Here is a 23386-nt window from a genome sequence, read left to right as displayed (position 1 = left end):
CATTGTGTAGATATACTGTGGCTTGTTTATCCATTCACTTATTTATGTACATTTAGTTTTTCAGATCTTGGCTATTCAAATAAAGCTGCTATGTATATTTGTGTACAAGTCTTTGTATGAAGATATGTTTCAATACAAAGAATGGAAATTGCTGGTAATTACCAAAGAGTGGTTGGATCGGATAGTAGGTGGATGCTTAACTTTTTTTTTTTTTTGAGACGAAATCTTGCTCTGTTGCCAGGCTGGAGAGCAGTGGTGTAATCCTGACTCACAGCAACCTCCGCTTCCCGGGTTCAAGTGATTCTCCTGCCTCAGCCTCCTGAGAAGCTGAGATTACAGGCACGCCCCACCACGCCCGGCTAATTTTTCTATTTTTAGTAGAGACAGGGTTTCACTGTATTGGCCAGGATGGTCTCGATCTCTTGACCTCATGATCCACTCGTCTCGGCCTCCCAACGTGCTGGGATTATAGCCATGAGCCACCACGCCTGGCTGCTTAACTTTTTAAGAAACTTTCAAACTGTTTTCTAAAGTGGTTGTATAGTTTTACATTCCCACCAGCAATATAAGAGATCCTGTTCCTCCTGCCAATACTTGGTAATTTAATTTTAGCCATTCTAATAGCAGTGTAATGGTACTTTGTGGTTTTAGTTTGCATTTCCCTAGTGATTAATGATGTTCAACATCTTTCATGTTTTTATTTGCCTTCCATATATCTTCTTTGGTGAAGTGTTTGTTCAGATCTTTGGCCCATTTTTGTTGAGTTGTTTTGTTTTTTTGTTTTTGTTTTTGTTTTTTTTTGGGGGGATGGAGTCTTGCTCTGTCGCCCAGGCTGGAGTGCAGTGGCACAATCTCAGCTCACTGCACCCTCCGCCTTCCGGGTTCGAGCGATTCTTTCACCTCAGCCTCCCAAGTAGCTGGGATTGCAGGCACCCACCATCATGCCCTGCTAATTTTTGTATTTTTAGTAGAGACAGGATTTTGCCATGTTGCCCAGGCTGATCTCAAACTCTTGGCCTCAAGGAATCCACCCACCTTGGCCTCCCAAAGTGCTGGGATTACAGGCATGAGCCATCTCACTCGGCCTTTTTTTTTTTTTTTTTTTTTTCCTTTTATCGAAGTTTCATTATATACCATTCTCTTAATACTATCTTTTTATCTTTTTCTTTCTTTCTTTTTTTTTTTTTGTTTTTAAGAGATAGGGTCTTGCTGTGTTGCCTAGGCTGGTCTTAAGCTCCTGGCCTCAAATGATCATCCTGCCTCAGCCTCCCAAAGTTCTGGGACTACAGGCATAAGCCACTGCACCTGGCCTATACTATCTTTTGGAGACCAAAAGTTTTTTTTGTTTGTTTGTTTTTGTTTTTGTTTTTTTGAGACAGAGTCTCGCTCTGTCGCCCAGGCTGGAGTGCAGTGGCACGATCTCGATTCACTGCAAGCTCTGCCTCCGGGTTCACACCATTCTCCTGCCTCAGCCTCCCGAGTAGCTGGGACTACAGGCGCCCGCCACCACGCCCAGCTAATTTTTTGTATTTTTAGTACAGACGGGGTTTCACCATGTTAGCCAGGATGGTCTTGATCTCCTGACCTCGTGATCCACCGGCCTCGGCCTCCCAAAGTGCTGGGATTACAGGCGTGAGCCACCGCACCCGGCCAAAAGTTTTAAATTTTTATCAATTTGTTTTTTTAGGGACTGTGCCATTAGTGTCATATCAAGGAAATCTTTGCCTAACCCAGGGTTACAAAAATTTTCCCTTCTAGAAATTTTTTATTTATTTATTTTAATTTTCAAAAATAGAGACAGGGTCTCACTATGTTGCCCAGGCTGGTCTCGAACTCCTGATCTAAAGTGATCCTTTGTCCTTGGCCTCCCAAAGTTTTGCAATTATAGGTGTGATCCACCATACCTAGCCTGTTCTAGAAATTTTATAGTTTAAATTTTATATTTATATCTATGACTCATTTGAATCACTTTTTCTTTTTTAAAAAAATCTCACCTTGTCTTATGGTGCTGATTGAATCATTTTATATATGGTGTGATAATTCTGTATATGGTATGTTTGTTTTTTTGTATATGGATATCTGGTTGTTCTGTCACCATTTATTGAAAAGGCTGTCCTTTTCCTTTGCTAAAGGTCTTCATGCTTTTATTTAAAAAATCAGTTGCCCATATATGTGTGGTTTTATTTCTGGATTCTCTATTCTGTTCTATTGATTGTTTTCCTTATCTTTATGTCAGTGCCGTACTGTTTTGGTTACCATAGCTTTATAGAAATCCTTGAAATCAGGTAGTGTTAGCCCTTCAACTTTGTTCTTCTTTAGAGTTGTTTCAGTTATTCTAGGACCTTTGTATTTCCATGAGAATGTTTTAATCAACATATCAATTTCTACAAAAAAGCTTGCTGGAATTTTGATTGAGATTGTGTTGCATCTACAGATCATTTGGGAGGAATTGACATCAGAACAATGTTGAGTCTTCCAACTCATAGTTTAATCTCTTCATTTATTTAAGTCTTTAATTCCTATCAGCAGTATATTGTATTTTTATTTTTATTTTTATTTATTCATGTTTATTGTATTTTGTTTTTATTTTTTGATATTGAGTCTCACTCTGTCACCCAGGCTGGAGTGCAGCAGCACGATCTCAGCTCACTGCAACCTCTGCCTCCCGGGTTCCAGCGATTCTCCTGCCTCAGCCTCCAGAGTAGCTGCCCAGCTAATTTTTGTACTTTTAGTACAGACGGGGTTTCACCATGTTGGCCAGCCTGGTCTCAAACTCCTGACCTCAGGTAATCTACCTGCCTTGGCCTCCCAAAGTGCTGGGATTACAGGTGTGAGCAACCTTGCTCTGCCAGTATTTTGTAGTTTTAGTATATATACTTCAACTAAAATTTTTATTTTCTTTTTAAATTGAATTTTAATATTTCATAATGGGCTGGGTGTCGTGGCTCACGTCCATAATCCCAACACTTTGGGAGGCTGAGGCAGGCAGATTACCTGAGCTCAGGAGTTCAAGACTAGCCTGGCCAACATGATGAAACCCTGTCTCTACTGAAAATACCAAAATTAGCTGGGCGTGATGGTGCACACCTGTAGTCCCAGCTACTTGGGAGGCTGAGGCAGGTGGATCTCTTGAATCTGGGAGGTGGAGGTTGCAGTGAGCCAAGATTGCTGCCACTGCACTCCAGCCTGGGTGAAACAGCGAGACTCCATCTCAAAAAAAAAAAACAAAAAAAACCCAAAACATTTAATAATGAAAACATTGCCAGTATTCTTAATTGATGTTTGAGATATTTGCATCCTTGTGGAAATCTTGGCAGCACAATGAAGAATTTGGCAAAAATAAATATCAGTCAGACTCTATATCCAAAAGGATTTATTTCCACATTGTACCTGAAACTCAAATGTTAATTACTGAACAAGTGCATTAGCAAGATTTTTAATTTAAATGTGAAGATGGAAAACTGAAAAATATAAATTAGGAAATAACATTTCTATAACTTGTCAAATGTAGTGGTTTATCAGGGTAAAAAGTTAAAGTGCTTTTGTGTGTGTCTACACATGGATTTATAGTATGAGACTATTTTGTTTTTTGTTTTTTTTTATTATACTTTAAGTTTTAGGGTACATGTGCACATTGTGCAGGTTAGTTACATATGTATACATGTGCCATGCTGGTGCGCTGCACCCACTAACAATTCTATTTATAGTGTTACAGTAAGGAAATGCCTTCTGGCAATTTGAAAATATGGTGTAACTAAAATACAGGTCTGACTTGTTAATCTACTGTTAAAGACTGGAAATTATTTTAATTGCTCTTTTTCTGACTAGGCTTTCAAAAAATATGATAGGCAAATTGGTTCTGTCGTGGTAATTTTATGTTTACTGTCTCTGTAGAAGTGTAAAGCATGGTTCTCTTCCATTGTCCTCTTGATGTCCTGTTACAGCATTTATGGGTGAGATTTTAACATTGTGTGTTTATTTTTATGACTGTTTTCATATTTGAAATTAAGAAGTTTGGCATAAGAAACTTTGATGCTTGATGTTCAAATTGCTTTGTAGCTTATTTAACAAAATCATAATCACAGAAAAAGAATCCATCCCAGTTAGACATTATCTTAATTCTCATGTTCAATCATTTTCACTGAGTGGGGCCCTTGGCTTTTTATGGAAAGATGTTATAAGAAACAACCTTGCCGGGCGCGGTGGCTCACGCCTGTAATCCCAGCACTTTGGGAGGACGAGGCGGGCAGATCACGAGGTCAGGAGATCAAAACCATCCTAGATAACACAGTGAAACCCCGTCTCTACTAAAAAATACAAAAAATTAGCCGGGCATGGCCGTGGGCACCTATAGTCCCAGCTACTCGGGAGGCCGAGGCAGGAGAATGGCGTGAACCCGGGTGGCGAAGCTTGCAGTGAGCTGAGATCGCGCCACTGCACTCCATCCTGGGGGACAGAACAAGACTCCGTCTCAAAAAAAAAAAAAAAGAAAGAAAGAAACAACCTTGCCTCAGGGAGGGGGGCCTGAGGAGGCAGGAGGATTGTTTGAGCCAAGGAGTTGGTGACCAGCTCGAGCAATTTAGGTAGGCCTCATCTTTAAAAGAAAAAGAAAAAAAAAAAAAAAAAGAAACGGCCTTATGAAGTCTACTGCCACACTTACAATGTAAATGTTTATTTATTTATTTAAAGATGGAGTCTCATTATGTTTGGAAGCCTGAAACTCCTCGGCCCAAGGAATCCTCCCACCTCAGCCACTAGAGTAGCTGGGACTACAGACACCCCACTACGCCTAGTTAAATGTCTACTTTTTTAAAAATGTCTTTTAAAAGTCGATTGATCTATTAGAAATGTATGGCTAAAATGTAATTAAGTTATCTCTGGCTGTGTTAAAGAAGTGCAGGGTATAAGAGGAAATATTTATTTCTCCAAAACCTAATTTGAATTTATTAGAAAATATGTTAGAAACATATTTCTAACATAGAAATACATTAGAAAGCCTGATTTTTTTTTTTTATTATTGGTCCTATATGAATTTCTAATTGCCTTACTGCTAGACTTTTTGGACCAGACTTCTTCAAAGAGTAGTCTTTCCTTACTATGGCCTTCCACTTCCCCATTCCCCAATTCAAAATTATTTTTCTTTATCAATTAGTTTGTATTTTGTCAAAATTATTTATGTAAATAAAAAGATAATTCGCTCTGCAAAGCTTGTTATGAAAAATAGCATTACTTCCCCCTTAAACACAAAATTTTCTGTTTCCTAGAGAAAACCATTTTAACTTTTCAAAGTGATTTATTTACTTCTATATTTCTAAGAAAGAAAAAGTGCTTATATTGCTATTTCATGTTTTTTTCTGTTTTGGATGTTATCTGTTGACTTCCTACCACGGAGGGTAAGGATTTAATATTCTCTTTTTTCTCTTTTTTTTTTTTTTTCTTGGCAGGGACTCACTCTGTTGCCCAGACTGGAGTGCAGTGGCACAAAGGATTTAATATTCTTTAATATGCACATACATTCCCCTCCAACCACACACACACTTTCCACTTTCTCTTCCCCCACTTCAAAGTTATATCTTAATTTGAGTTGGATTAATATTCAAAGTTTACATTATTATGACTGTAAATGCTATTTTTGGGGTTTTTTTTTGGGGTGGGGGGGACAGGGTCTCACTCTGTCGGCCAGGCTGGAGTGCAGTGGCACAATCTCCACTCACCTCAACCTCCACCTCCAGGGTTCAAGCTGAGATTACAGGCACGCACCACCAGGCCCAGCTAATTTTTGTATTTTTAGTAGAGACGGGGTTTCACTGTGTAGGCCAGGCTGGTCTTGAACTCCTGGCCTCAAGTGATCCACCCCCACCTTGGCCTCCCAAAGTGCTGAGATCATAGGCATGAACCACCACACCCGGCCTATAAATGCTATTTAATCTGCTTTTTCTTTTCTAACTCACTGCTTTTACTGGAGTTATTAATTATCTTGTTTTCTTGTTTGTGTGTTTTTCTATGTAGTACACTTATTACCAAATTCAAACTTTTTACCAGTTTTCTAAATATCCTATCAAGATTTTCATCCCATTGCATACTCTGTCAAGTTTGTTTTCTTGAGACAGTCTCTCCCAGAGCCTTCTGACCTGCACCAGTGTGGACTGGTCACCTTTATTCCTGTTTTACAGCTCTCATCCTATAATTTCCTTTCATTTTATCCTGGGCATTCCTTTGACCTTTCTTCTCTATTGATTCCTTTATTTTCTTTATTCCATATTTTTCTTTCTTGATTCATACCCTTGTTTTAGTGTAGTACAAATGACAGAAGGTTAATGAGAAAGACTACGTGAGAGATAAAGTTTTGGACCTTATTCTATCTAAGAATGTCACGTTAGCATGGCGTTTGATATTGCTGGTATCTTGGATTCCAGGCTGAACATCATTACCATCTAGCTTCTAGTATTACTGTTGAAATCTGAAGCTAATGTCTGCTTCTCATATATAATCTGCTCCTCCTCACTTCCCTGTCCTCCCAGTCTTGTAGGATATTCTCTTTGTCTCCAGGGTCCTGACATTAAAATTTTGTTCAGTGACATGGGCACTAGAAAAGCCCTTTAGACTTATTTTATTGATAATTTCCCCCCTCAATTTCCTCTGTTTGCTAGATGATTCTCAAACTTTTGAAAACCTCATTTATGGTGAAGTGTAACATATAATCAGAAAATGTGTAAAGGATAAATATACAGTTTAAGGAACACCTATTTAACACTCAGGTAAGAAGACAGAACATTGTCAGCACTTTTCTCAGGATAACTCTCCAAAAGGTAACCGTTTTTGTGGTATTCACTGTTTTGATTTTCTTTCTTTTTGAGACGGAGTCTCGCTATGTTGCCAGGCTGGAGTGCAGTGGCATGATCTTTGCTCACTGCAACCTCCGCCTCCTGGGTTCAAGCGATTCTCCTGCCTCAGCCTCCCGAGTAGCTGGGACTACAGGTGTGCACCACCATGACCAGTTAATTTTTGTATTTTTAGTAGAGACGGGGTTTCACCGTGTTGGCCAGGATGGTCTCGATCTCTTGACCTTGTGATCCGCCTGCCTTGGCCTCCCAAAGTGCTGGGATTATAGGCGCGAGCCACCGCGCCTGGCCTGTTTTGATTTTCTTAATAGTTTTTCCATCTCAGCGTGTATCCCTTAACACCATTGTTTAATTTGTTCTGAATTTGTTTATTTTTTATTTTTGTATTTAATTTTGTCTGACTTTGTGAATGGAATCCCATTGTATGTATTCTTTTTATCTGGCTTCTTTCTGCCAACATTTTTTCAGGGTGCATCCACATTTTATGTAGCTGTCATTATTACTGCATTTTTTTGACTGTGTGTATTCCATTGTATTAATAAGCCACAATTTATCTGTCCCATTCTGGATGAATATTTGAATTCTTTTCTAGTTTTGGAAGGTATTATTAATAATGTTATTTATGAGCCTTCTAGCGTATGTCTTCTGGTAAACATTTCTCTAGAGCATTGCTGTCTAGAAGAGATACAATGTGAGCCACACATGTAATTTAAAATTTTCCCTCCTAGGCTGGGCATGGTGGCTCATGCCTGTAATCCCAGCACTTTGGGAGGACAAGGCAGGAGGATTGCTTGAGCCCAGGAGTTCAAGGCCAGCCTGGGCAACACAGCGAGAACCTGTCTCAAAAATCTAAATAATAATAATAATAATAATTAATTAAAAAATAAATAAAATTTTCCCTCCTGAGTGAATTAATGCAGGAACAAAAAAAAAACAAATGCTGCATGTTCTCATTTACGGGTGAGAGCTAAACATGGGGTACCCATGGACATAAAGATGTTAACAACAGACACCGGGGACTAATAGAGGAGGTAGTACTATGCTCAGTACCTGGGTGATGGGATCATTTGTACCCCAAACCTCAGCATGACACAATATACCTAGGTAACAAAATCTGCACATATACCCCCTTAATCTAAAATAAAAGTTAAAAACGAAAATTATCATAGCCACAGTTGAAAAGTAAGAAGAAACAGATGAAGTTGATTTTAATAACATATTTTTAACCCAATCTAATCATTTCAGCATGTGTCATAAAAATTGAGAATTTGACTTCTTATTTTAATACTGAATCCTTGAATCTGGTTTGTATTTTACACCAACATCCCATTTCAACTCAGTGGAGCTACATTTCAGGTGTTCAGTACCCACATGAGGCTAGCGTCTATTATATTGGACTGTATAGCTCTAAAGAAATATATGTAAATCTATCCTGAATATATATATATATATCCTATAGTGGAATTGCTCAGTCATAGACTATACATATCTTGAACTTTAGTACTTAATGGCAAAGTTTTTGAAAGTGATTGAAACATTTTACATTCCAGTAGCAGTGTGTGATCGTTCCCATTGCTCCACATAGTTACCAACATTTGATATTATCAGAATTTTTAGTTTTGCTGCCTGGTGAGTGGATAGTTTTCATGGTCGTTTAATTTACATTTTTCTGATTACTTAAGAGCTAGAGCACTTTTTAATATATATATAGGCTATTTGAATTTATTCTTTTGTGAAGTGCTAGTTTAAGGGTTTTTTGCCCATTTTTTCTCTTGGGATTTTTATCATTTTTTTTCTTACTGAATTTTTAGGAGTTCTCTATATATTCTAGATATGAGCCTTTTGTTACATGTACTACATATATCTTCTCCAACTCTGTAACTTGCCTTTTTACTTTCTTAAAGATGTCTTTTGAGAAACCTAAATTTTAAAGTTTAATATAAAGTTTATCAGTTCTTTCCTTCATAGCTAGTAATTTTTTGTGTCCTATATAAGAAATCTTTTTCAATCCTGAAATCATGAAGATATTATCTAGTTTTACACTGTCAGAGCTTTATTGGGTATATTTATTTATTAGGCCTAACATGCAGCTAGGATTGATTTTTGGGTAAAGGTTGAAGTAGGAGTTGATTTTCTTTTTCTGCAGTGGTTCAACACTATTCATACACTTCCCTGCCTCCCTGCAACTCTCTGCCACACCTCATACTCTACAGTGCCATCTGTGTAAATAAGCGTCTATATATATGTGGACTTGTTTGTGGACTCTGTTATGTCCCATTGATTTCTTTCTCTATCCTTATGCCATTGTCACATTCTTCATTACTATAGCTTTGTAATAAATCCTGACAACCATTGGAGCAAATCCTTGTACTTCCTTACAGACATATGACTTTGTTGTTAGTAATTTTAAAAAAAGAATATATGACTGATTTTCTTAGCTTTTTGCACTTTTATTTACATGTTGAAATTATCTTGGCATTTTTAGCAAAACAACCTGCTTGGATTTGATTGTGATTTTATAACTGCATGTATCAATTTTGAGAGAATTCAGTTGTATACAATATTAAGTCTGACAGTTCACCAACATGGTATCATCTTTCATTTATTTAGCTCTTTAATTTTTCTTAAAGTCTAGTTTTCTCCCTAGGAGTCATGTGTACCTTATCAGGTACTCAAGGTACACGGTATTTTAAATTCTACTGTAAATGCTATTTAATTTTTTTTTTTTTGAGACAAGGTCTCACTCTCACCCAAGCTGGAGTGCAGTGGCATAATCATGGCTCACTGCAGCCTCGACCTCCGGGTTCAGGTGATCCTCCCACATCAGCCTCCCGTGTAGCTGGGACTACAGTTGCGTGCCACCACATCTGGCTAATTTTTTGTAGAAGTGGTGTTTCACCGTGTTGCCCAGACTGGTCTTGAACTCCTGGGCTCGAGCGATCCTCCCGCCTCAGCTTCCCAAAGTGCTGGGATTACAGGAGTGAGCCACCGCACCTGGCCTAAAAATTTTGTTTGCTAGCTTTGTTGCTGGTACATAGAAAGAAAAGTTTATTTTTTATGAGTTCAGGTAATTTATGTGTACAATATTTTTGTCCTGCATGGGTACATTATTTTGTCCTCCATGGGTGCATGGATTCTTCAGAGAAGCAGAACCAATAGGAGACACACACACACACACACACACACACACACACACACACACACACACACGACATTTAAGGAAATAGGCTCATGAGGTTATGGTGGCCCAGAAGTCCAAGATCTGCATTTGTCAAGCTGCAGACCCAGAAAAGCCAATGGTATAATTCTAGTCCTAGTCTGAAGGCCTGAGAACCAGAAGAGCTGATGATATAAATTCCAGTCTGAGTATCAGTCTGAAGGCAGAAGACCGGTGTCCCAGCTCAAATACAGTCAGGCAGAGAGAAAGAATTCTTTCTCAGCCTTTTGTTCTATTCAGGCCTTTAGTCAAGTGGATAAGGCCACACTGGGGAGGGTAGTCTGCTTTTCTCAGTCTACCAACTCAAATGTTAATCTCCTCCAGAGATACCCTGACAGACATACCCAGAAATAGTGTGTAACCAGTTATATGGGCACCCCAAAATTAACCATCACAATGGGCAGTCAGATGATCTGCAAATTTGTTTCTTCTTTACCAATTCTGAAATTTTCTTTTTCTTGGTTTACTGCAATAGCCAGGACCTCCAAATATAATGTGGAATAGAAATGATAATAGAAAATATCCTTTTCCTTGATCTCCAAAGGAAAGCTGTCAGTGTCTTGTCTTACTATTAACTATGATTTTATTGTAGCTTTTTTTGTTTTGTTTTGTTTTTTCTTTGAGATGGAGTCTTGCTCTGTCGCTCAGGCTGGAGTGCGGTGGCATGATCTCAGCTCACTGCAACCTCTGCTTCCCAGTTCAAGCGATTCTTCTGCCTCAGCCTCCCGAGTAGCTGGGACTACAGGCACCTGCCACCACACCGGCTAATTTTTGTATTTTTAGTAGAGGCGGGGTTTCACCGTATTGGCCAGGGTGGTCTCAAACTCTGACCTTGTGATCCCCCCGTCTCAGCCTCCCAAAGTGCTGGGATTACAGGTCTGAGCCACCGCACCCAGCCTATTGTAGCTTTTTAGTATACATCCTTTATCAAATGAAAGAAGTTCACAAAGAGATTTTTTATTTGTTTGTTTGAGACAGAGTCTCACTCTCACCCAGGCTGGAGTGCAACAGCACGTTATCTCGGCTCACTGCAACCTCCGCCTCCCGGGTTCAAGCGATTCTCCTGCCTCAGCCTCCCAAGTATCTGGGACTACACGCGCCTTCTACCATGCGTGGCTAATTTTTTGTATTTTTAGTAGAGATGGGATTTCACCATGTTGGCCAGGCTGGCCTTGAACTCCTGACCTCAAGTGATCCACCCGCCTCGGCCTCCTAAAGTGCTGGGATTATAGGTGTGAGCCTCCGTGCCGGGCCCACAAAGAGATTTTATCATGAATGAATGTTGAATATTTTTCAAATGGCTTTTTTACATATATATTGGGATGGTCATATTATTTTTCTTTTTTTCTTTTCTTTTTTTTTTTTTTGAGATGGAGTCTCGCTCAGTCATCCAGGCTGGATTGCAGTGATCTCAGCTCACGGCAGCGTCTGTCTCCCGGGTTCAAGCAGTTCTCCTGCCTTAGCCACCCAAGTAGCTAAGATTACAAGCCTGTGCCACCACACCTAGCTGATTTTTTTATTTTTAGTAGAGACGGGGTTTCACCAGGTTGTCCAGTCTGGTCTCGAACTCCCGACCTCAGATGATCCACCCACTTCCAGCCTCCCAAAGTGCTGGGATTACGAGCCACCATGCCTGGCTGTGATTGTATAATCTTATTTGTATACATTATGGAATTTAGTTAGGTGACACTTTACTTAGGCTTTTTTTTTTTTCTGGATTCATAAGTGAAAATGGCCTATAATTTTGTTTTCTTTTAGAGATGAGGTCTTGCTCATTCCCCCAGGCTGGAGCGCAGTGGCACCATCATGTCTCACTGTAGCCTTGACCTTCTGGGCTCAAGTAATCCTTTTGCTTTAGCCTTCTGAGTAGCTGGGACTACAGGCATATGCCACCATGCCCAGCTAATTTTTTTATTTTGGAGAGATGAGGTCTTGCCATGTTGCCCAGGCTGGTCTGGAATTCCTGGCCTCAAGCGATCCTCTGACCTTGGCCTCCCAAAGTGCTGGGATTACAGGCATGAACCACTGTGCTGAGCTAAAAATGGCCTATAATTTTCATCTTTCTTTTTGAGTTTTTATATAAAGTCTAGTCCCAAAATAAATTGGAGAGTATCTTTTTAAAAAAAATTTTCTAAATGTTCGCTTAAGATTGTTGTATTGCTTCCTTTATGTTTGATGAGTTTGTCAATGAAGCCAGGTAGACCCATATAATGGGCTATAATGCAAGTCTCAACAAATTTCAAAAGATTGAAATCATAGAAAATATGTTTTCTGGCCAGGCATGGTGGCTCATGCCTGTAATCCCAGCATTTTGGGAGGCAGAGGTGAGTGGATAGCTTGAGCTCACAAGTTCAAGACCAGCTTGAGGTCAAGGCTACAGTGAGCCATGATTGCACTACTGCATTCCAACGTGGGTGGCAGAATGAGACTCTGTCTCAAAAAAATTAAATAACTAAATAAAAATGAAAAAGAAAGTATGTTTTCTGACGACGTGATTATTATAGAAATCAATTTTAAAAACCTTTTAAAAAATCTCATGTTTAAAAATTAAAGAAATTTGCTTCTAGATTCTTAAGGTGAAAGAAGAAACCATAATGGAAATTAGAAACTATAGTCCACCATTCTTATCCTTGGGTTCTTAATCCATAGATTCAGCCAACCTCAGATCAACAGTATTTGGGAAAATAATGGATGGTTGCATTTGTACTGAACACATACAGACTTTTCTCTTGTCATTATTTCCTAAACAATACAATATAACCACTATTACATAGCATTTACATTGTATTAGGTGTTACAAGTAACCTATAGATGATTTAAAGTATATGGGAGGATGTGTGTAGGTTGTATACAGTGTTACACCATTATATATAAAGGACTTGGGCATCCATGGATTTGGGTATCCACAGGTGTCCTGGAACTAATTTCCCACAGACACTGAAGGATGACTGTATTTTGAACTGGATGATTACAAAAATATTCCATATGAAAATATGTGTGTTTTTACAAAAGTAGTTTTAGAGAAAACATACATATTAGAAAAGAAAGGTTGACAAAAATGAGCAAAGTATCCATCTCAAGAAGTTGGCAAAAGAACATAAAAAGCAGAAGAAATAATGAAGATAAAGCAAAAATAAATGAAATATAAAACAAACATAAAATAGGATCATAAAAGCCAAAAGTTGGTTCTTTAAAAGATTAATAACATTGATAAACCTCTGAGATGCTGATCAAGAAAAGAACGAATACACAAATAACTAATATTAGAAATGAAAGAAGGGATTTTTACTATAAATCCTATAGACTTACAAAATATGAGGCTATAATGCACAATTTTATGCTATTTTTTTTTTTTTTTGAGATGGAGTTGCCCAGGCTGGAGTGCAGTGGTGCGATCTCTGCTCACTGCAACCTCTGCCTCCCAGGTTCAAGCAATCCTCCTGCCTCAGCCTCCTTAGTAGCTGGGATTACAGACACGTGCCACCACACCCAGCTAATTTTGTATTTTTAGTTTCACCATGTTGGCCAGGCTGGTCTCAAACTTCTGACCTCAGGTGATCCACCCACCTCGGCCTCCCAAAGTGCTGGGATTACAGGTGTTAGCCACCGTGCCTATGCTAATTTTTTAAAACTCTCATTTTGTTCAGGCATGGATCTCTTAGGAAATGGCAAAGTCTAAATCGTAGACTAATCATTGTTTGGCAATGGTTGGTTTAGTGGTGGCACGTGATGTGATGTTAGGAAGAATTCTATGGTAAATTTTGAGACTTCAAATAAAATGGTTAACTTCAATGCTGTGTTTTTTGTGGGGAGGGTTTTAAATTACTTTTGCTTAACTATGAGGCTATTCAAGTTATCTATTTTTGTGTTAGTGCTTCTGATATCCTTCTGACTTCATGGCATAAAAAGTTAAAGCAGGCTGGGTGCAGTGGCTCATGCTATAATCTCAGCACTTTGGGAAGCTGAGGTGGGAGGATCACTTGAGCCCAGGAGTTCAAGATCAGCCTGGGCAACATGGTGAGACTTCATCTCTACAAAAAGTTTTAAAAATTAGCCAGGTCATGGTGGCACACACCTGTAGTGCCAGCTACTTGGGAGACTGAGGTGGGAGGGTTGCTTGACCCCAGGTCTGCAGTGAGCCTGGGTGACAGAGTGAGACCCTGTCTCAAAAAAAGAAAAGAAAGGAAAGCAATACTTTTTTAAATTTCTTTCAACAAATATTTATAGGACACCTACTGTATGCTAGGTACTATTATTTACCATATTTCTTATATCCAGTCAGACTGGATTATTATTTAGGACAGAAAATTTAGAAACAAAAACGGCTCATCCCTAGAAGGATGCAGCTGCTTAAAAAAAAAAAGAAAGAAAAAAAAAGAAAAAAAGGTGGGGTGCTTAGCATAGCTGGTGGTGACAGTGCTATTGTGAAAGCTGAGTAGCACCTATTTCACAGAGCACCTCTATAATTTGTAAAGGAGTATGGTTTTTCAGATGTTACCTTTATTACTGGGATTCATGACCTGCGTAGACTTCAAGTAGGTTTATTGACTTCAGGGTATCCACAGTTCCTCTGAAATTGTATAGAATAGTTTATGTGTATATGCTTTTTGGTGATAGGGAAGAGAGGGTTCAATGGCTTTCCATAGATTTTTCAAAGGGTCCAAAAATGCTTAAGAACCACTGCTCTGTGGGTTAAGAAAAGTTTACAGAGACCAACAAATAGTTTTTTTCTTCATTTTGTGTTTTATGTCTGTTTTGAGTAACCATTATAGTAAAATATTATATATAAGATTCTCTTTGACTTTTGTTCAATTTATATTATTTTGCCATTACTTTAACTGATAACTTTTTTTTAAAGGTTCAGGAACAAGTGCATCCCACTCTCTCAGCTAATGAAGAGTCTCTCTATTATATTGAAGAGCTGATTTTTCAGCTGCTTAATAAATTATGCATGGCCCAGCCAAGGACTGTTCAAGATGTAGAGGTAAAAATTATTTTGTCATTTCAAAAAGTCACTCAACCACTGTATGAATTAATTTTTGTATCTATATCATTCTAATTTATTGTGAAAACTAAAACCACTGAAATTATGTATGATATATATGGTCAGTTTGTTTTTGACAAAAATGTCAAGGCAGTTCATTGAGGAAAGGCAAGTTTTTCAGAAAAAAAAAAACTTAGAACAACTGGGTACATTTATGAGGGGAAAAAACCTTGAAACCTATCTCATGCCGTAGACAAAAATTAATTCAAAATGGATCATGGCCTTAGACATAACAGCTAAACTACAAGGTTTCTAGAAGAAAATTCTGGAAAATATCTTCATAACCTGGGTTTAGGCACATATTTTTTAGAGAGGACTCAAAACATAGTACTTTATATTGAATAATAAGGCCAGGTGCGGTGGCTCACACCTGTAATCCCAGTACTTTGGCTGAGGCGGGAGACCGTCTCAAAAAAAAAAAACAAAAAAAAAATGTTCTCTATGTCAGTTGAGATGATGGTTACACAGACATAAGCATTTCTAAAACTCAACAAATTGTACATTTTAAGATCTGTGTATTTTACTGCATATAAATATTACCTCAATAAAAGATTAGTGTAAATTTTGAGGACATTTGCTCAGTGATTTAAAAAAATGTATATGTATGTGTGTGTGTATATATATATATATATCTGAAAAACTGTTTAAATTAGTACTAAAATAATTGTTTTGCCTTGGTTACATGGGAGTATTTTTGGATTTTTAGCAATATCTGTTAGGGAGAGTTTTACTTCTTTTGTATAAAAGCACCCTGTGCACATAAAATTAATATTAATAAAATTGGTATTATTTTCTCCTGCTAAAAACAAATGTCTAATAGTACAGCTATCAAAAATTATTTTCATTTTTATTTTTTGAGATGGAGTCTCACTCTGTCGCCCGGGCTGGGGTACAGTGGTGTGATCTTGGCTCACTGCAACCTCAGCTACCCAGGTTCAAGCTATTCTCCTGCCTCAGCCTCCCAAGCAGCTGGGACTACAGGCGTGCACCCCAGGCTAATTTTTATATTTTCAAAAATTACTTTTATACTATACTGTTTACATTTCCTTTTTTTTTGAAATTTGTTTCTATAAGCAACAACTTTCTTTCTTTCTTTTTGTGAAGTGGCATGATCATAGCTCACTGTAGCCTTGAACTCCTGGGCCCAAGTTGTCCTCCAGCCTCAGCCTCCCGAGTAGCTGGGACTACAGGCACGTGTCACTGCGCCCAGCTAATTTTTATTTTTATTTTTGTAAAGACTGGGCCTTGCCGTGTTGCCCAGGCTGGTCTTGAACTCCTGGCCTTCAGTGATCCTCCCTCCTCAGCCTTCCAAAGTGCTGGGATACAGGTGTTAGCCACCATGCCCAGCTACAACAACTTTCAGTATAAAGGAAAATCTTAATTTGTAGTGATTGAGCTATTAAGATTTTCCAGGATTCTTGGAATTAAAGCATTTTTTTCCCCTGTTCTCTGCTGCCAATTGTTTGGGTTTTGTTGTGTTTTGTTTTAAGAGACAGGGTCTTGCTTTATCACCCAGACTAGGGTGTAGTGACAGGATCATAGCTCACTGTAGCCTTGAACTCCTGGGATCAAGCAGTTCTCCTGCCTCAGCCTTCCAAGTAGCTGGGACTACAAGTGCATGCAACCATGCCTGGCTAATTTTTAAATTTTTTTGTAGAGACAGGGTCTCCCTACATTGCGCATGCTGGTTTCATACTCCTGGCCTCAAGGGATCCTCCCACCTCAGTCTCCCAAAGTGCTGAGACTTAGAGGCATGGGCCACCATGCCCAGCCTCTGCTACTAGTTTTGAACATGAAATAAACAGACTGAAAGCATATTTTTCAATAGCTAAATTTGCTAAAATCTGAGACTATAACTATAAATATAGGAAACCCTGCTAAATTAGAGTTTAATTCAGATCTCAGTAGTTCTTGTTTTTCATGCCAATGAATCACTGATTAAATTAAAATTAGATGAACTGCCTAGGTGCAGTGGCTCACACTTGTAATCCCAGCACTTTGGGAAGTTGAGGTGGACACAATCACTTGAGCCCAGGAATTTGAGACTAGCCTGGGCAACATGGCAAAACTCTGTCTCTACAAAAAATAGAAAAATTAGCCAAGAGTAGGGGTATGTGCTTGTAGTCCCAGCTACTCGGGATGCTGAGGTGGGAGGATCATTGGAGTCTGGGAAGTGGAGGTTGCAGTGAGCTGAGATCCCGCCACTGCACTTGCACTTCAGCCAGAAGTGACACAGACAGAGTGACAAGAGTGAGACCCTGTCTCCAAAAACAAAAAAGCAAGATGAACACAAAGGCTAAGATTGTTTTTGTCAAGGTACGTATTTTCATAAGCCATTCTGAGCTCTCTCACCCATTTCATCTTCCAAGAGATACATGACCTCTTTTATTTGAAGCTCTAAGATTAACGAAAGGAGAGTGGCTGTATACTAATGATTAAAAATGAATGAACAATTTCTGCTCTGCTAGGTAAATAGTTTTAACTCTAGAAACCTAACTTAAAATCACTAATACACTATTTCATGTTCGCTTTAATCTTTCTTATATATCCTATGTATTGTTTTTTCCTTTTTCCGGTTCATCTTAATTATGTTTAAAGCTTTCTTTTTGAAGTTTACCTTTTTGTTTTATCCATGAAAATTATGTGGAAAAATTTTGATAGTCCTGTTGACCTTTTTTTTTTTTTTTTTTTCTGTTGGGGGTCTCCCTCTCACCCAGGCTGGAGTGCAGTGGCATGATCTCGGCTTGCTGCAACCTCCGCCTCCTGGGTTCAAGCAATCCTCCCACCTCAGCTTCTGAAGTAGCTGGGACTATAGGCATGCACCACCACCATGCCGGGCTAATTTTTGTATTTTTAATAGAGATGGGGTTTCACCGTGTTGCCTGGCTGGTCTAAACTCCTGAGCTCAAGTGATCCACCTGCCTCAGCCTCCCAAAGTGTTGGGATTACAGACGTGAGCCACCGCGCCCAGCCTGACCTTTTTTTTAAGCCAAAAAATTTATTTATTACAGGAATCAGAATGTATTGTGTCACTATTATCTGCTAGCATTAAGAATAGAGATCAAGTTGAATTTTGTATGAATTTCCTATTTATGAACACTTTTATTAATACTACAATGGTTCTGCTGTGATTGAGCAGGAGCGAGTTCAGAAGACCTTTCCTCACCCAATTGATAAATGGGCCATTGCTGATGCACAATCTGCTATAGAAAAACGAAAACGAAGAAATCCTCTTTTACTGCCTGTGGACAAAATCCATCCTTCGTTGAAGGTAACAAAAGATTAAACATTAGTTGGGGGGTGTTCTTTATAACAAGTAATATTTTATTTCTATATTTATAAAGCATTAATGTAGCATGGTCTGTGTTAGTGTGTATATGTGCACTTCCATATGTATGCTTGTACATACACATCGCATATATTAATATGTATACAAAATGATTATGCTCTGGTGAAATTGGATTGCTTTTCAAACAATATTAAAAATTATTAATAGTGATAATGCATTACTATTATTTTGTGGCATCTTTTTTTTTTTTAAGTAGAGACAGGGTCTTGCTGTGTTGCCCAGGCTGGTCTCAAACTCCTGGGCTCAAGTGATCCACCTACTTGGCCTCCCAAAGTGCTAGGATAAGAGTCATGAGCCATCAGGCCTGGCCCATTGTGGCATCTTTATGGCATCTTCCAATGACTGCTACTCTGACTAATTCCTATGTAGTAGGCCATGATTCTCAGTCATTTGTTGATTAAGAAAGTGTATAATTTCAGAAGCTACTGTGAGTTCAGAACTGTCTTTAAAATTAATTTATATTATCACAGATTATTTTTTATATACTGGAAAAGTGGACTAGGACCTAGTTTGGCTATTGCATATTAACGCATAGGGCAAAATATGTTTGGTGTATATGGATTTTAAGAGTTTTGTAGCAAATTCAAGCCCCCCCCGCCCCGCCTGCCTCACACACACAGACACTTCCATACCTCCCCTCAGTAGAAACTACTGTAATTAGGGGATACTGGTTTTAAAGCAGAGTCCTTGAAGATAGCAGATATTTTGATATTTGTCAGATGAATTTTGGTTAATGTATTAAGAGGCTTTTAGTGGAGTCCAACCCAAGATTTCTATATCAAGATCAACTGTTGTTGTTTGATAAAAGGCAGAGTTGTTAGATTAGATGTCTCTTAAAAGAAAAAAAATCCCCTAATACAGGGACCAAAGATTCATTTTATATCCCGTGGTACCCATACATTTAGACATGTAGTTAATAGAAAATTTTTTATAAGCAAGGATGTTAAATAGGAATTTTTTAAGTGTGTAATACTTGACAGTGCTACATTTTGCAATTAAATTATTTATTCTTTTCACAGGAAGTATTAGGGTACAAAGTGGACTACCATGTATCCCTATATATTGTGGCTGTACTAGAGTATATCTCAGCTGATATTTTAAAATTGGCTGGTAATTATGTTTTTAATATCCGGCATTATGAAATATCTCAGCAGGACATTAAAGTGTCAATGTGTGCGGATAAGGTAAGTGTTACAAGGTATTTAAATTTAACTTGAATAGCAACTATACTAATTTCTGCCTCAATCTTTTTGTGTACATTATTAGATAAGTAATCTTTATAATTGCTAGTACTGGAAGAGAGAAAAATCCTGGCTTTACAGAGTAACCGTGATATTTCCAGGTTTTTAAGCATATGGCAGGATGGGGATCTCTTTTTTTGGTCAAGAATCTTTTACTTACAAGAAAAAAAACATCCAAGGCCTCAAAACAATTTAAGTAGTTTCAGTTTTATATTTTTAGAAAGAGAATATATAGAGTTCTACTCAGGTACTTTTAAGTGTAAGTAATTTTGAAGACCCTACTTTGGTTTCACAGCATAGCTTAGTGAGGCACAGGGGAGAGAAAATTAGACTGCAATGTTGAAGTTACTCCCCTCTGATCATTTTTTTGTTTTTATATCTGTCTTCTTTCCTGGCTGTAAGCTACTTGTGGGAAGAAATTGAGTCTTCCATATTCTTCTATATTCCTTTACTTACCTTCTTATTCTTCTTCCTGTTATTTGAGACAAGGTCTCACTTTGTCACCCAGGCTGGAGTGCAGTGGCACAATCTCAGCTCACTGCAAACTTTGCCTCCCTGGCTCAAGCGATCCTCCTATCTCAGCCTCTCGAGTAGCTAGGACCACAGGCGTGCATCACCACGTCCAGCTGTTTTTATATTTTTTGGAGAGATAGGGTTTCACCATGTTGCCCAGGCTGGTCTTGAACTCCTGAGCTCAAGTGCTTGCCTCAGCCTCCCAAAGTGTTGGGATTATAGGCATGAGCCACTGCACCCACTGAAGCTATAACGCTGAATAACATAGCAATCTTTGTGTTAGAAGGTATTTATTTTACTGCAAAATAAAAATATTATAAACAGATAATTACAGAACAATATGATTAAAACTATCATACTAGTAAGTCCAAGGTACAGTGGAGAAAGTAATGAACTTTAGCACGGGTGAGGCCAGAAAGACTACAGAGAAAATGCCTAAATGAAACTCTCTCAGGGTGAACAACCTTCAGGACCTAGCACATGCTGGTGGTTCTCAGCCTTGACTGCACATCAGAATTAATAGAAAGCTTTTTAAAGAATGCTGATGCCTGCATATCACCCCCAGAGATTTAATTGGCCTGGATTGGATCTCCAAACCTCAGTGTTCTTTGAAAGCATTCCAGGTAATTCTGATGTGCAGTTATAATGACTGAGACCGATTGTACGATGCCATAATTTCAGAAATGACTTTTCACTTACATCATGGTAGCAATTCCTTGTTATCTCTATTTTGACTTACAAAATTATGGCTACTTTTTTTTTTTTTTTACTTTGAAAATATCTTAGACTTTTAGAAAAGTTGGAAGTACAACAAAAAGTAAGCCCTTGCCACTTGAACCATATGAGAGTAAGTTGCCAATATAGTATGTCCTATAAACAAGAACATTCTGCTACATTACCACAGTATGACTGACAGTCAAAATCCAGGAAATGAATACATTTGATACATTATACCATCTAACTTTCAAACATCATTCAAGTTTTGTCACATATCCTAATGATCTTTTTACCAAAATCATTCATTCCAGAATCATATATTGTTTATGTGTCATGTATTTTTATCGTCTTCAGTCTGGAATAATTCCTCATTCCTCCCTTAACTTCAAAAAAAAAAAAAAAAAGATGGCAAAGCAGGCCAGGTGGTGGATCACGCCCGTAATCCCAGCACTTTGGGAGGCTGAGGCGGGCAGGTCACTTAAGGTCAGGAGTTCAAACCAGCCTAGTCAACATGGCAAAACCCCGTCTCTACTAAAAATACAAAAAAAGTAGCTGGGCATGGTGGCATATGCCTGTAATCCTAGCTGCTTGGGAGGCTGAGGCACGAGAATCATTTGAACCCAGGAGGTAGAGTTTGCACTGAGTTGAGATTGCACCACTGCATTGCAGCCTGGGTGACAAAGCAAGACTGTTTCAAAAAAAAAAAAAAAAAAAGGTGGTAAAGCTGACTTTATTCAAGAGAGGCCATGGCAATAGGCACAGGGACCACTGCAGTGTAATCCTGTGGTTGGGGAGAGAGATGTTAGAATCAACTCTCCTCCCTTAACTTCTATAACCTGGACGCTTTTGAGAGTTACAGGTCAGTTACTGTGTAGAATGTCCCTCAATTTCGGTTTTCTCTGTTGTTTTCTCTTGGTTAGAATCAGGTAATGGTCTTTAGCAGGAATATCATAGAAATTGTGCTGTGTTCTTCTCATTGCATTTTCTCAGATGGCACACAGGCACATGATTTCATTGTGTCTCATTAGTGGTGGTGATGTTGACTTCGATGACTTGATTAAGGAGTTATCTGCCAGGCTTTTCATCTGTGAAGTTACTGTTTTCCCTTTTGTAATTAATAAATGAATATTTTGTGGAGTACTTTGAAACTGTGTATCTTATTCTTTATCACACTCAAATTTAATATGGACTAATGAATTGTTATTTTATTCAATGGGTCATAATCTGTTACTTCATTATTTAGATGTTGTAGGCCAGGCACCGTGGCTCATGCCTGTAATCCCAGCACTTTGGGAGGCTGAGACAGGTGGATCGCTTGAGCTCAGGAGTTGGAGACCAGCCTGGGCAACATGTCTCTACAAATAAAAAAAATTATCCGGGCGTGTGCTTGTGACTATAGTCCCAGCTATTTGGGAGGCTGAGGTGGGAGAATCACTGGAGCTCGGGAGGTTGAGGCTACATGGAATCGAGATCACGCCACTGCACACCAGCCTAGGTGACAGAGTGAGACACTGTCTCAAACAAAAAAAAGTTCCGGTTGTTCCAGATTTGGTTATTAGGAGCCCTAGCTTGGTTTTTCTGTTCCTGTCATTATTTGAGCACTTTATTTTCTTTTCCCCTTCCTATTTATTAATTTATTTAATTATAAATTGACAAATTATAGTTGTATATATTTATGGAGTACAAGGTAATGTTATGATTACAAAGAAAATGTGGAATAATTAAATCAAGCTGATTAACATTTATTACCTCAAATACTTATTTTTTGTGGTGAGAACATTTGAAATTTACTCTTAGCTAGTAGAATGATGGTTACAAGGCTAGGAAAGGTAGCTGGAGTGGGGGAAATGGGGATGGTTAATGGGTACAAAAATATTGTTAGAATGAATGAGATCTAGTATTTGATAGCACAACAGGGTGACTACAGTCAACGATAATTTGTTGTATATTTTACAACAATTAAAAGAGTTTAATTGGATTGTTTGTAACACAAAAAAAGGATAAATGCTTGAGGTGATGGAGACTCCATTTTATTCTGATGTGTGCATTATATGCCTGCATTTACCCCATACATATATACACCTACTATGTACCCACAAAAATTTCTTTTAAAAATTGAAATGACAAAAAAATTTACTCTTTTTGCAATTTTGAAATGTAAATACATTATTATTTACTATATTCACCATACTGTGCAATAAATCTTACAAAAAAGACCCAATTCCTCCTAATTGAGGTTTTGTCCCCCTTCCCTTCAGCCTCTGGTAACCACATTCTACTCTGCCTCTATGAGTTTGTTCCAGATTCCACATGTAAGTGAAAACACATATGCATTTTCTTTGTTGTTTGTTTTTTGTTTTTGTTTTTTTTCTTTTTTGAGACGGAGTCTCACTCTGTCGCCCAGGTTGGAGTGCAGTGGTGTGATCTCGGCTCACTGCAACCTCCGCCTCCCAGGTTCAAGCA

General features: G+C 38.4%; 1 protein-coding gene across 11 annotated transcripts in view; it reads left to right on the top strand.

Annotated features, from left to right (window-relative positions):
• Positions 1–23386, top strand: part of SOS2 (SOS Ras/Rho guanine nucleotide exchange factor 2) — a 114753-nt gene that overhangs the window by 12556 nt on the left and 78811 nt on the right. For 5 of the 11 annotated variants that reach the window (XM_047431723.1, XM_047431716.1, XM_047431715.1 and 2 more), the window contains 4 exons: positions 14918–15043; positions 18243–18374; positions 19472–19636; positions 23182–23235. In XM_047431723.1, coding sequence (XP_047287679.1) covers positions 15011–15043; positions 18243–18374; positions 19472–19636; positions 23182–23235 — 384 coding nt within the window. In that variant the 5' untranslated portion in view covers positions 14918–15010. Of the gene's footprint in view, positions 1–3894; positions 3954–14917; positions 15044–18242; positions 18375–19471; positions 19637–23181; positions 23236–23386 lie in introns of all 11 variants that reach the window. The other 6 variants (NM_001411020.1, NM_006939.4, XM_047431717.1 and 3 more) reach the window with 3 other exon arrangements.

This window comes from Homo sapiens, chromosome 14, assembly GCF_000001405.40.
Source record: "Homo sapiens chromosome 14, GRCh38.p14 Primary Assembly".
NCBI lineage: Eukaryota > Metazoa > Chordata > Mammalia > Primates > Hominidae > Homo > Homo sapiens.
Note: the sequence above shows the minus strand (reverse complement) of the source record. Positions and strands in the feature narration are given on the sequence as shown.